This window comes from Homo sapiens, chromosome 8 (genome assembly GCF_000001405.40).
Source record: "Homo sapiens chromosome 8, GRCh38.p14 Primary Assembly".
Taxonomy (NCBI): Eukaryota; Metazoa; Chordata; class Mammalia; order Primates; family Hominidae; genus Homo; species Homo sapiens.
The window spans coordinates 54,789,650-54,805,296 of NC_000008.11; the positions used below are offsets into that span (position 1 = coordinate 54,789,650).

General features: G+C 34.6%; 1 protein-coding gene across 7 annotated transcripts in view; it reads left to right on the plus strand.

Annotated features, from left to right (window-relative positions):
• RP1 (RP1 axonemal microtubule associated) overlaps window positions 1–15,647 on the plus strand; it is a 312,050-nt gene that overhangs the window by 230,465 nt on the left and 65,938 nt on the right. The gene's annotated exons all lie outside the window — the stretch shown is intronic.

Below are 15,647 nucleotides of genomic sequence, written 5' to 3' on the forward strand. Positions count from 1 at the left end.
GGTCTTGCTAAATTGTGGAGCATAGCCTGATGGAACAGGGAGTCCAGACAGCAAACCCACCTAATCGTGGAGTGCAGCCTATAACCCCATCAAACTGCAGGGCACAATCTACAGATTCTCCCAAACTGAGAGCCCAGTAGAGGTCCTCACTGACTGTGGAGCACAGCAACAGCTCTGCATTATCAGGCAACCCACCCAATAACCCTGCTGAACTGTGAGACACAGCCTTGACCCTACCCAATTGCAGAGCCCAGGCTGCAGCTAACCCCAACTGCAGAGCTCAGCCTGCATGAATGTGGAGACCAGCCATGAGCACTGTCTGGCCAGAGAGATTGGTTAGGTCTCTGACTAGGAGTGATTGTGGAACTCAGCCTATAGCCCTGCCTAATCATAAGTCCAAGCAGCAGCACTTCTTGGCCAGGGAAAGCAGCCTATAACTCTGCCCAACCAGAGGCAATTGTGGAGCCCAGCCAGTGGCTCCATCTTGCCAGGAGCCCAACCAGAAGTTCTGCCTGACTACAGCCAGGTCAGCAGACCTACTGGTTGCAGAGACCACCTTGCAGCTCCACCCAACATCAGAGCATGGGCAGATGTCTTGCCCAATTGGAGACCTTAACAGAAAGCATAACCTACCTGTGAATGCTACCAGCTGGTCTGTCTAAAACTCCAGGCTGGGCTGATGGGTGAAGGTCTTTCCCTGCCAAAGTGAACCTGTAAAGTCTGGAATACCTGATTGCTTCCTTAAATGCACAGTCACCAATGCAAGAATATAAGGATCACAAAGAAGTTGTGGTAACATGAAACTACCAAAGAAGAATAATAAAGCTCCAGTAGTTGATCCTAGAGAAATGGAGATCTACGAACTGTTTGACAAGGAATTGAGAATAATCCCTTTAAACAAGTTCAGTGAACTTCAAAAAAAAAAAAAGGTAGACAACTAAATGAAGTTAGATAAGCAACACATGATCAAAACTATTATAGAAGTTCAACAAGGACATAGAAACCATTAAATAAAATTAAAATTCTAAAGCTGAAGAATACAGTGAATGAAATGAAAAATTCAGTACAGAGCTTCAACATTTGACTCAATAAAGAAGAAGAAAGAATCAGTGAATTTGAAGACAGGTCATTTGAAAATATTCAGTCGGTGGAGCAAAAAGGAAACAAAATAATTTTAAAAAGCGAAGAAAGGTTATGAGTTAATGGGATACCATCAAGTGAAACAATATATGCATTATGAAAATTCCAGAAGGAGAAGAAGGAAAGATAGGGACAAAAAGCCTATTTAAAGAAATGATTACTGAAAACCTTGCAAATTTGGGGAGAGAAATAGACATTCTGATTTGTGAACCCCAAGTGTCACTAGACAGGTTGAATCTGAAATGTTATGCACAAAGCAAATTATAAATAAATTGTCAAAAATGAAAGACAAAGAGAATTTTGAAAGCAATGAAAGAAAAATGATTCATCATATACAGTGGAGCCTCCACAAGACTGTCAGTGGATTTCTAGCAGAACGCTTGCAGGCTGGGAAAGAGTGGGATCATATATTCAAAATACTAAAAAAAACCTGCCAACCAAGAATACTGTACCCACCAAACTTGTCCTTCAGAAATGGAGAAATAAAGATTTCCCATCCCAAAGTGATGAAGGAGTTCATCACTTTTACCTTCCTTACAAGAAATACTCAAGGAAGTTCATCAAGTTGAAATGAAAAGACACTAATTAACAACCTAAAATATATGAATATATGAAACTTGTTGTAAAAATAAATATATATAGTCAAAGGCAGAATTCTCTAAATTTTTATTATGGTGATGCATAACTCATTTCAATTCTAGTAGAGAAGTTAAAAATGTATTAAAAATAACTAACAACAATAACTTGCTATTAGATATACATAAAATGCAAATTGTAATATCAATAACATAAAATATTAGGTGTGAGTTAAAAGTGTCATTTTATAGACAATTAAATTTAAATTATCTGCTTAAAATAGGATGTGAAAATGATAAGATATTTTATGCAAGTCTTATGGTAACCACAAAGAATAAACCTGCAGTAGATACACAAAAGATTAAGAGACAGAGATCAAAGAATACCAACACAAAAGTCATCAATTACAAAAGAAGACAATAAGCAAGGAAGAAAGGAGTAAAGGAAATATAATCAGAAAATTAACCAAATGGCAAAGATACGTTTTTAATTATCAATAATTACTTTAAATATAAATGGATTAAATTATTTGATGAAAAGATGTGCAGCATTTGAATGGATTAAAAAACAAGATCCAATAATAAGCTGCCTATAGGGGACTCACTTTAGCTTTAAAGACACACATAGGCTGTAGTTAGGGATGGAAAACACTTTCCATGAAATGATAATCAAATGTGGGCACGAGTGACTATAATTATATCATACAAATTGACCTTAAGCCGAAAACTGTCACAAGAGACTAAGAAGATTATTACTTAATGATAAAGGGATCAATTTATCAAGAAGATAGAACAATTATAAATATTTATGTACCCAACACTGAGCATCTAAATATATGAAGTGAGTACATTTACAACAATAGAAGTGAAAGGAGAAATAAGCAACAATATTATAATAGTAAGGATCTTTGATATTAAACCCTCAATGACGGATAGATCATCCAGATAGAAAACTGATGAGGAAACCATGGGTTTGAACAATACTGTAAACCCAGTGAACCTAACAGACATATACAGAACATTTCATCCAACAACAGAATACATACTATTCTCAAGGGCACGTAAAATATCCAGGATAGATCATATGTTAGGACACAAAACAAGTCTTAATAAATTCAAGAAGATTGAAATTACATCAAGTATCTTTTCTCACTACAATAGTATGAAACTCAACGTAAATGACAGGAAAAAAATTGGAAGATTTACAAATTCATGGAGATTAAACACACTTCTCAATGATTAAGGAGTCATGGAATAAATCAAAAAATAACTTGAGACAAACACAAATGAAAATACAACATACCAAAACTTATGTGATACAAAAGCAGTGCTGAGAGGAAAGTTTATAACTGTAAATGGCTACATTATGAAACAATAAAGATCTCAAATAAACAAGCTAACTATACACTTCGAGGAATCAGAAAAATAGAACAAAATAAATCCAAAGTTAGCAGAAAGAAGGAAACAATAAAGATTAGAATGGGAAAAAAAATGAAATAGAGAGTAGAAGAACAATAGAAAAGATCAATAAAACCAAAAATTAGTTTTTGGAAAAGATAAACTTAAGCCTCTAGCTAGACTAATCGAGAAAAAAAGTGGGAGAACTCAGATAAATAAAATTATCAATGAAAAAGAAGACATTACAACTCATACCACAGAAATACATAGGATCATAAGAGACTGCTATGAACTATTATGTGTCAACAAATTGAATAACCTAGAGAAAACGTATAAATTTATAGAAACATACAACCTAAAAAGATTGAAACATGAAGAAATAGAAAGCCTGAATACACCAGTAATGAGTAAGGAGATTGAATCAGTAATCTCCCAACAAGGAAAAAACCAAGACCTTTAGTCTTCATTCTGAGTTCTACCAAACATTTAAGGAATAATTAATGCCAAACCATCTCAAACTCTTCTAAAAAATCTAAAGTGGAGGGAATACTTCCAAACTCATTTTATGAGGCCAGCATTACCCAGATACCAAAGCCAGACAGGATATTAGAAGAAGAGAAAATTACAGGACAATATTCCTGATGAATGTAGAGGCAAAAATCCTCAACAAAATACTGGCAAACACAATTCAATAGCACATTAAAGTATCATTTAGCGTAATCAAGTGGGGTTTATCCCTGGAGTGCAAGGATGGTTCAATATGTACAAATTAATAATTGTGATACACTGTATTAACAGAAGGAAGGATAAAAATAATGTGATCATCTCAACAGATACAGAAAAAGCATTTGACAAATTTCAACATGGTTTTGTGATAAAAACTCTCAGCATATTTAATATAGAAGGAATGTATCCAACCTAATAAAGACCAAATATGATAAACCCACAGCAAACATTATACTCAATGGTGAAAAGCTGAAGGCTTTCTCTCAAACATCAGGAACAAGATAAGGGTGCCTACTCTTGCTACTTCTATTTAACATAGTACTGGAAGTGCTAGTTAGAATAATTAGGCAAGAAAAAATAGGGCATCCAAATCAGAGAGAAGGAAGTAAAATCATCTGTTTGCAGATGACATAATCTTACATATAGAAAATTCTAAAAATTCCACCAAAAAGCAGTTAGAATAAACAAACTCAGTAAAGTTGCAAGCTACAAAATCAACATTTAAAAAATCTGTTGCATTTTCATACATCTCTACACTTAAAAAAATAAGTCATTGTTGAAAGAAATTAAAGTATGTACAATTAAACGGAAAGATATTCCATGTTCATGGATCAGAAAAATTAATATTATTAAAATATACATATTACCCAAAGCAATTTACAGATTCAGTGAAATTCCTATCAAAATTTCAATAGCATTTTTGACAGAAATATAAAAAACAATCCAAAATTTCATGTGAAACCACAAAAAACTCTAAATAGTCAAAGCATTCTTGAAAAAAAAGAACAAAGCTGGATGCATTGCATTATCTGATTTCACACTATATTCTAAAGCCATAAAAACTAAAATAGTATTTTTATTTTATTGGCATAAAAGTAGACACAAAGTCAAACGGAACAGAATCAAGAGCCCAGAAATAAACGCATGCATATACGACCGTTTGTCAATATTTGACAATGTTTGTCAATATTTGACAAGGGCACCAAGAATGCACAATGGGGAAATATTACCTTTTTCAATAAGTGGTGTTGGGAAAACTGGATATCCATGAGCAAAAGAATGAAATTGGACCCATGTCTTATACCTTTCACAAAAATTAATTATAAATGGATTAAATACTTAAAAATTCTAGAAGAGAAAGAAACCATAGGCAAAACCCACTTTTCCCTATGTTTTGGCAATGATGTTTTTGGCTATGACACCAGAAGCACAGGCAACACAAGCAAAAATACACAAACGGGCTGTATTAAACTAAAACGTTTCTGCACAGAAATGAAAATAATCAGCAAAATAAAAAGGCAATGAGTTGAAATGAAATGGGAATGGGAGAAAATATTTGCAAACCAAATATCTGATAAGGGATTAATATCCCAAATATATCAGGAACTCATTCAGCTTAATAGTAGAAAAACCCAAATAATATAATTTAAAAATGGGAAAAGACCTGAATAGACATTTTCCCAAAGAAGACATAGAAATGGCCAACATGTACACAAAAAGGTGCTCAACATAACTAATCATCAAGGAAATGCAAATTGAAACTGCAATGAGATACCACATCTAACCTGTTAGTATGGCTATCATCAAAAAAACAAGAGATAGTAAGTTTTGGTGAGAATGTGGAGAAAAGGGAACCCTTGTATATTGCTTGTGGGAATGTATCGGTACAGACATTATGGAAAACAGTAAGGAGAGGCCTATAAAATTAAAAATAGAGCTACCATATGATCTGCTTCTGTGTATATATCTGAAGGAAACAAAATCAGTATCTTGAAGAGATATCTGCACCCATGTGGTCATTGCAGTGTCATTCATAATAGCCAAGACATAGGAACACCTTATCTCTCCATCAATGAATGAATAGATAAACATAAATAAAGCCAAAAAAGACCTAAAAACCCTAATACAGGTGCAGAATATACTATGGAAAACATATCGTTGATTTTCAGAAGGGTTAAATTTCCTCAGATGGGCTAAATTTTAGAACAAAAATATTATTGGCTTCAGATATCAATCATTTTTTATTTATTGGAGGACAACTGAAAGAATATGGCATGGCCTACTCCTTAAGAAGCCAAAAACCTTTGTGGAGAGGGAAGATTAAGGTTGTTTGCTGATGTCTGCTCTGAGCTGGATGATAGATATTTAGCAAAACTGAAACATGAAAGAAAAAAATATCATTCTCTAATCCCTCTCTGCTGACATCTTCTTTTGAAAGACTAACATCTTTATTTGTGGACTTGATCATATCCTCCTCTGTCTCTCAAAATTGTGACCCATTAGCCATCCTTATTTTTTCTTGCGTTTTCAGGATTATTCTATTTAGCCCTTGCCTTCAACCTGCCAACAGGCTTATGTTTTTCCTGTTCTAAATGTGACCCTTACTCTACTCTTAGGTTACAGTTTTCCTTCTCTTTGCAAATCTTCAAAGTACTAACCCATACTCATTCCTTTACCTCTTTCTCTTTCCATTCTCTCTTAATCTTGCAATTTGGAATATTATCTCATCATTCTATTTAAACCACATTTTCTAGGATCAGCAGTGAGATTCTGATTCTTCTTCAGCTATTTTTCTCAATTGGTAGCCAAGGAATTATCGGGTGGACAGATAGTGCAGTGATAGGTGTGAGTATTGGAACCAGATATCCTGGGTTCAGATTTTAGCTTCTTGACCACCTGTGTGTTTGTGGGCAGTTATTTACCATTTTATCCTCTGTAAAATTATTAAAAATAATAGTACCTAAGAGGATTGTTGTGAGGATTATGTGGGTATATAAAATCAATGTAAAATTTTCAGCATATAAAAGGGCATGTAGTCAACACTCAAAATTCTTAAAAGTATTTGTATTGTGTTTGGGAAGCAAAGAGACAAAAGTGTTTCAGGAAAATGTAGGTGACAGTTATAGGTTGAATTGTGTTCCTCTAGAAGATATGTTGAAATCCTTGATACCTGTGAATATGACCTTATTTGGAAATAGGCTCTTTACAGATTTAATTATGATGTAAGTTAACATGAGGTCATGCCAGAGTAGGCAGGGCCTTGATTCAATATGACTGGTGGTGTTATAAGAGAGAAGAGAAGCATCGAGAGAGAACACTATTTAGTGACAGAGGCAGAGATTAGATTGGTGAGCTGTAAGCCAAAGGATGCCAAAGATTGACAGCCACCACCAGGAGCTAGAAAGAGGCAAGGAAGGATTCCACCCAGAGTCTCAGAGGGAGTATGGCCTCATTGACGTCTTGATTTCAGACTTCCAGGATCCAGAATGGTGAGAGAATAAGTATCCGTTGTTTTAAGCCACCCAGTTTGTTATGAAAACCCTAGGAAATGAATATAGAATCCAACAGTCAGATGCTTCACAGAAATGAGGAACGAAAATGGAAAGAAAATGGTTAAATTTGCCAACAAAGAGGATGTTAGTGCCTTTCAAAAGAGCCATTTTACTAATCTTGCTGAGAGATATTATAGGGAATGATAGAATCTATCATGGGGTGAAGAGAAATGGTGGTTCTGGATATAGAGCCACTTGATCATTACGTTTGTGAGAGGGAAGCAGGTATTAGAGAGAGCACAACAGTGTAAAGAGTAGACTCCTTTTTAGGAATAGAAAAATTATCCATTTTTGCATGAGAAGAAGGTGGCACTGGAGAGACATTTTTGTATGTAACACTGCTGAAGACAGTTGGAGTAAATGTTAGAGTCAGATCCTTCAAAAATCAAGAGATCTACTTTCTTAACAGCTACCAAAAATGCAGTTGGAAGAATAGGTTTTATAGAGGAGGACGGCACCTCTTCATCATCTTTGAGACTAGAAATTAGGCTAGGAAATAGTTGTGATAATAGACGTTAAGGTAGAAATAAAGTACAATCAGTTTGGCTGTAATAGTTTTGGAAATGTGAATTTGTTCCAACATAATTGGTATATTAAAGAACAGTGAGCCTAAGTGGAATTTCACATTTGCTTATGCACATTTTATCCATGAGAACCACTAGATGAGTGCAGAAAACTCTACCTAGCTGAACTGAGTCACATAGGACTAAACACACACACACACACACACACACACACCTCAAACACCTACCAGCTACCTCAGTCCACTGCATGTGTTAGGAACCATGCTTATTCACATCTGATGTTAAAACTATCCTTCCAATTTCAGATAACCCTTCTTCCACAACTTGACAATAACTTACAAGCTACAGTTGTTTTCACACCTCTTTCAGAAGAAAACTTCGTGTCTTTTCAAAATAAAATATCATATTTATTATAGTATTTATGTATTTCTTAACCATTAATATGTATATAACTGTGTTGCCATTTTTATTAGGTTCCTATATTTTTTCTGATGTCATTGATGAAGTTTCCAAGTGTTGTTTCCCAACCTTTTTTTTTTTTTTTTTTTTTAACCATAAGCCTATGGTTTTTATTGTAAAATTTTGCAGTGTGGTGATTTTAGACACATGTCACATTATAGAACTGGCTATACATATAGCAGGAGCTCCTCCTGGATGGTCTGATTTCCCTTTTATTTATTTTTATTTGAGACAGAGTCTTACTCTGTAGCTCAAGCTGGAGTGCAGTGGTGGGATCTTGGCTCACTGCAACCTCCGCCTCCTGGGCTCAAGTGATTCTCATGCCTCAGCCTCCTGAGTAGCTGGGACTACAGGCACGTGCCACCACGCCCGGCTAAGTTTTTTGTATTTTAGTAGAGATGGGGTTTCATGTTGCCCAGGGTGGTCTCAAACTCCTGAGCTCAGGCGATCTGCCTGCTTCGGCCTCTCAAAGTGCTGGGATTACAGGCATGAACCACCACACCCAACTGGTGGTCTGATTCCTGAAGTATAGGAGAAACCAGCAATATTTCTATGAGTGGAATTTCATTTGCCCAAGGTAATGAACAAAGAGAGCGATAGATTAGAAAGTCTATGAAGACTCCAGGAATACATTAAGGAAACAAGGAAAACTGAAGTCCTCACATTGTCTTAATTTTGTTGGTTCTATTATCTACTTGTTCCCTGAAACTTAATTATCAAAAAATTCACAAATTGTGTCATGTTGGTTAGGTTAATTAATAAATAGAACTTATAGTTCAAGTAACTTTCAGGCATAAGACAACAGAGGCAAAAGATCATTATCCTCAGATGATTTATTTTGAGGGCATTAGTGTTCTTATTGCATGTTGAGCCACATAAATTTGAAGTGATTTGTCCTCAGAATATTTCAATTATTGTAATGTATACAGGAAACATTCTTCATCTTTTTAGTTGCCACTTAAGGAAGAAAAAGTAAATTATAAAGTTGTTCTTATCCTGGCTTGACAGTATCACACATACTTGTACATCTATATTAGTCTCTATTTTTGTTTTCATCTTCATACATACACATACATAACATACATATTGTATATGTAATGTTAACATATACAATATTTGTTATATTTCTTTTTCTATAGAACTATGATAGCAAAAAATGTTAATATTTTATATACAATTATTATATTCAGCTTTTTTGGATTTGCTTTTTCGGATTTGCTTTTTCCTACAGCATAATATATAAATAATACAATTGTGAAAATAAATGCCTATGCATTTTGAGACTATGTTAATTAAGTAGAAAAGCTTTTTATTTTAAAGATGAAATCTTGAAATATCTTGGTGATGTTATTTGCTATTATAATATAAAAGTAAAATAACAGAAAGCTATATGTGATTGAACTTAACACTCTATAAATTTGGTAATAATTTTCCATTTTAATTCAAAAAGAAATCTCCCAATAATCCAAATACATTCATTCAAAAAACATTTATTGCGATCTGTTCTTTACCAAATACCATAACAACAGCTTTGTCTTTCTTTAAAATTTATGAATATTTTTGACTTCTCTGTATCTTTATAGTCAATGGGTTTCTTGTAGATAGTATGGAGTTGGGTCTTGCTTATTATCCTACCTGGCAGCCTGTCATTTCACTATGTTTAGACCATTCTCATTTAAAGTGATTATTATATAATTAGAATAAGATCTACCATCTTGCTAGTTGTTTTCTATTTGTTCTTCCTTTCCTTTTTCTCCCCTTTTCCTGCCTTCTCAGGATTTAACTGAACTTTTTTTAATGCATCAATGTTATCTCCTTTTTTGAAATTATTTATACTATTTTTTCTTTTATCAAAAGCTTTCTACTGGTTTCCCCATGGTTTAGAGTGTCTATTTTAAAATAATCTGAGTCTCCCTTCAAATAATATGCTACCCCATGTGCAGTATAAGGGTCTTAGAATAATCCAAATTTCTACTTCCCATTTCTTATAGCATTGTTGTCATACATTTCACCTTTATATATGTGTATACATGCAATATATAATAACTGATTTTATTTTAAATAGTTATATTTTAGAGAATTAAAAATGAGAAAAATAATATTTATTTTACTTTTATTCCATTTACAACATTCTTTATTTCTCTGTGTAGACCAAGGTTTCTGGCCTATACCACAATCCTTCAGTAAGAAGAATTGCCTTCAATATTTTTTGTTGAATGGATCTGTTAGAAATACATTTCCTCAGTTTCTGTTTGTATGAGAAGGTCTTTATTTATTCTTCATTTTTAAATGATGTTTTTACTGGATATGGAATTCTGGATTGCCAGTTTTTTTTCTTTAGTACTTTGAAGAAGTCAATTTATTGTCTTCTCTTTGCATTTATTCCAAAAAGAGTGCTGATGTAGTTCTTATCCTTCCCTCTATTTATAATGTATCTTTTTGTCTAGCCACCTTCAAGATTTTCTCTTTGTCTTTGGTTTACAGCAATTTGTATATGATTTGCCTCTGTGTGTGTTGGGGGGGTGTGTGTATGGGTGTGTGTGTGTATTAGTATTTATCCTGGTTGGTGAGCTTCTTAGATCTGTGATTTGGTTTCTGTATCTAATTTTGAAAATTTTTGACCATTATCTTTGGAAAATATTTCTCATGCCCTGTTCTCTTTCTTCTTTTTTCAAGATTCCAAATGTATGTATATAAGACTATATGTTTGATATTGTCCAATGTTCTCGGATGCTCTGTTCTATTATTTTTCTATTAACAAAATCTTTGTGTTTCAATTAACCAATCTAAATATTCATTGATTCTTCCCTTGGCCATGTTGAATCTGTCAATGAGGCTGTCAAAGGAATTCTTCATCCTTGTAACTGTGTTTTTGATTTCTAGAATTTTCTTTGGTTCTTTCTTACAGCTTCCAATTGTTTTACTGAAAGTACTCACCTGTTTTTTTATGTTGTCCACATCTTCCATTAGAGGTTTAAACACATTTAATCATAGTTATATTAAATTTCTTGTATGATAGTTTTAACATTTGTGTCATATCTGAGTCTGATTTTGATTATTGTTTTGACTATTCAGATTGTGGTTTCCTTGCCTTCTCCCAAGCCTTGTAGGTTTTGTTGTTGTTGTTAGAAGCTGGATGTGTTGTATAGAACAGTAGATAGTGAAATAAATACTGTTGATAATTGGAGATAAGCACACTTTCCTTCTGCTCTGCATTTAGTGGAGGAATTTGTACTAATGTAACCATTACTTGGGCTGAGTTTAAAGTCTGTTGTTGCTATGGTTACCTTCAGTGTAACTTCACGTTCCTTTAGTAACACCTTATGTTTAGGATATAGTCTAATTTGCCAGAGAGTGTTTCTCAATATTTGCTTCCCAATTGGCTTGGGTCTGTCTACCTGGCTTTGGCTCTTCTGGTTTGTCTGTTGCAGCTCACAGCTGTATTCCACTGTTATTTTTCCTCAACACGTGTTAATGTAGTGTTGAGAGGGTGGGGCAGTTGTACGTTCTCAGATGTTCTGATTAAGCTTCAGTCTTAGCCAGGCGTTGCAAACCTTCACAAGTATTCCCGCTTCTCCTCCAGGCGTAGTGGGCCTAGGATGTGTTTTTGCCACTCCCCTCAGAATCACAGACTTTTTTTTCATGGTGCCCTTTCTTAGTTGCAATGTATTTTTATCAGTGCCCTCAGGTAACAGTTTTTGTTTCTCTTCCCTCTGCAAATTACATCTTCTGTTCCACAGGGGAGATAGAGGAGACAGATTCAGGACTTCCGCCTTGGCTGCCGTTACTACCCCCAGCCAGAAAGAGAAGGACTCTTTCTCGGTGTTCACCTCAACCTTCCCTGCAAGTGCCTGGTGGGGTTCTTGGAGGAAAAGTCTGCAAGAGAGTGCAAACTCTTATGCTTCCCATATCCAGCCTTTAGCAATTTGTTGGAAATTTCTAGGTGCATTCTTTACTGGTGTACAGGACATCTGTAGGCATCCACTCCAGGTGAGCACATGCTTAGGTCCTGTTTCTCTCTGAAGAAACCTGTCTCTCTCCAGAGTTTGGTTAGATTTTTACCCTGTAATCTAGTTCTCCAGGAAAGTCATTAATTTGCAGTTTTTCTAGGTTTTTCTTTGTTGTAAAAGTGACTCTGTCTTCCAACTCTCTACATCTCTGAGCTCACGCTATGAATATTTAGATGGGTAGTCAGATTTATTTATTTTCTTTTTATTAGATTTTTATAGAATTGTAGTCACTAAAGAGCTGCAGATAATATATAACATTTAAAAATGTATAAAGGCTCAGTAACCCAGCCAGGCAAATAAGATGTTATTTAGAAACATAAGTCCACTGTTCTCCATTTTCTCTGAGAAGAAAATAAATAATATAGACTGTAAAAAGGCAACTTAGAGACATATTTAAGAAAGACCTTCTAAATAGTAAAGGTAAAAATAGCCTTGTAATGTATTTATTATAGATTCTTTTCCTATGACAATATTAAACAACAACTGAGGCATTTTCAGTATGTCCTGATTCAGATGAATCCAACCTATAAGTAAGAGAATGGATCCATAAAAGACTGTTTAATCATGGCATTCAATAGAAAATGTTAAGCATTTGAGAATATAGGCTTTTTAGTGAGGATAAAACAAAACAAAATGAGAAATACCTTCAAATTTCAATTTGGAGTGAAGAGACCAGAAAATCTCTATCAAAGTTCTTAGGAAAGATATGATGAAATCTAAATAAAATGTTTTATCCACTTTCTCAAAAAGCATTTTAGGAAAACCAAATTGTTCTTTCTTTCTGAAAGGTAAGGTCTTCAAAGGCTGCTATTCATTTCAATGTCGTTCAGCAAGTATTTCTATGATACACACAATAGGTTTAACACCGTGCTCAGGTCTCTGAAGGGTACAGAGCTATGAAATGAGAAACAATCCCACTGAGAGAAAGGACATAAACACATGACACAGGCAAGATGCCAGAAGTGTTATGAGTTAGTGCCCCGTTAAGCAGGATAGATGCAAAAAGCTTTATGGGCTCAGAGAAAGGATCTACAGTTCTCTCTTGGGATTGGATGAAACAAAATCTTCTATAGCTGTTGACTAGTGGACCTTTCAACTGGGATCAGGGTGTGCTGGATGTGTGTTCTATAGAAGCAAGGTAGCTTACTAAGCTCAAGAGAGAAAAAAGCTTGTCTTTCTTGGGATTCATAGCTTTTTTTTTTCCTATGCATCTTTGTGCTTCCCATGTAAAATTCTCAAACTCAGTCACAGCAACATTTACCCTTTTTGTGAGTATTTTCTACATCTTCTCAACTTGCCTGGAAACCAAGACTACAAAATATTATTTCTAAAATCTCATTAAAAACTTTGTCTTATTTTTTAGTCTAATCAGTTTGTTTTTCAAATGAATTTTCGTAGCTACTTTTGGAGTCCATGTGATAAATGGACTGGGACTCTATATGAACATGTTCCTCACTGTCTCGTGGACGGGACTGGAGAGAGACACGTAGACAGAATTTTGGAACTGTTGATAACACAATTAGATGTCACAGATGAACACGGGAAAAATGATGAACACTACCTTGTAACACCGGGGATTATGACCTATCTCCTGAAGAACATGAAAATTATTTTGACTCTGTAACAGTTGATGGATTTGAGATAACTGTGAAGACTCCCCTAAGAAAACCGAGGGTCCAGGAAAATGTATAACAAATAATGATATTACACTATCATCCTCCAGATGCTATTCAGGGAACAATGTTGTTGAATGATTTCCTTAAAAGAGTTGCTTATTGTATAAATGAGTGAGGTATATCTTTATTTACTATTACAAAGGATTTCCAGGGTATATTATGTAGTGAAAAAAGGTAAAAACATGTATGCTACAATTTATTTAAGAAAAGAAGTGTTATGGGAATATACGCATATTCATATTTATATATACATAAATATTACATGTATACATGGTTTTTAATTTAAAAATAAACAATGGGCCGGGCACAATGGCTCATGCCTATAATCCCAGCACTTTGGGAGGCTGAGGTGGGTGGATCATGAGGTCAGGAGTTTAAGACTAGCCTGACCAACATGGTGAAACCCCGTCTCTACTAAAAATACAAAAATTAGCTGGGCCTGGTGGCACACACCTGTAATCCCAGCTACTCAGGAGGCTGAGGCAGGAGGATCGCTTGAACCCAGGAGGCGGAGGTTACAGTGAGCTGAGATCACCCCACTGCACTCCAGCCTGGGCAACAGAGTGAGACTCTATCTCAAAAAAAATAAAAGAATTAAAAAATAATAATAAACAATGGAAGGTAAACTATAAGATAATAAATGATTACATATGTGGGGGGGGGCTAGGTTAGAGGGGTTAGTAGGAAAAACTAAGCTTCTTTGAATAAACTTTGTTTTGCAACTCCGATTTAAAACATATAAACATTTTATATAATTAAAAAAATTAATTTAAAAAAGGCAACTTCTAAAAGTAAAAGGAAAATGAAACAAATGAACCTGTATAGTCAGATGATGTAAGCACACACAGCCAGACACTATTCCAAATGACGTTAAGGCCCACCATTAAGGTTTGACTGCATAACCCTTGTAGGGTAGACATTCATCATTTTGCCGGTGCTAGTTTTGATATGGATGACCTGAGACTGTTGTTTGTGTAATGTGGGATAAAGCACATGAAAAATCACACAACTGTAATTGAGAACCACTTAATTTTTTTTCAGTGATTTCAAAAAGGCTAAAAAAAAATGATATTGACAAAAATTTACCTGGCAAAAAGAAGCAGTAAGAAAAGCAAGGGTTACAATTCTGACAACAAAAAAACATTAAAACCAAAAAGTATAAGATGGGATAAAAGATACTTCGTAATGTTAAAAGCTACATTTGATGTAACACCAATACATTAAATAACACAGCACTCATGTGAAACAAAAACTACACAGATGCAAGGATTTGGGTAGAAACCCAGTCATATAAGAGATTTTAATATATGACTCTTAATTCAGGACAGATCAAGTGTTCCAAAAGTAAGCAATTATATTTTAAAAAGTCTAAGCAATGTAATAAATAAGGTAGCTCTTTTGTTTGTATGCATTATACCCTAATAATGGAGACTATTTCCTCTTTTCAAATTTGGGTGGCAATATAAATATGGGTGTAGCTTTCAAATACAGATGCTTGGGTTTCACCTGGGATCATATGATTCCAAGGTCTGAAAAGCTGCCCATATTATTCTGACTTTCATCAGCATCTGAAGTCACTGACAAAGGAGAGAGAATCAACAACACTGGCAGTGCCTGAATTTTGAGAGAAATCTGAACAAAACATTTGATACTGAGATTGCTTTAGATCATCCTGGACAGAGAGTTTTTATAAACATCCCTGATTATTCTCTGTCAAGACCATTTAACTGTTTTCTGAATATCGTTTCAATAAATATGCTTATTTGCTAGTTATATAGTATATAATTAGTTATGCCTGGCTATCTAT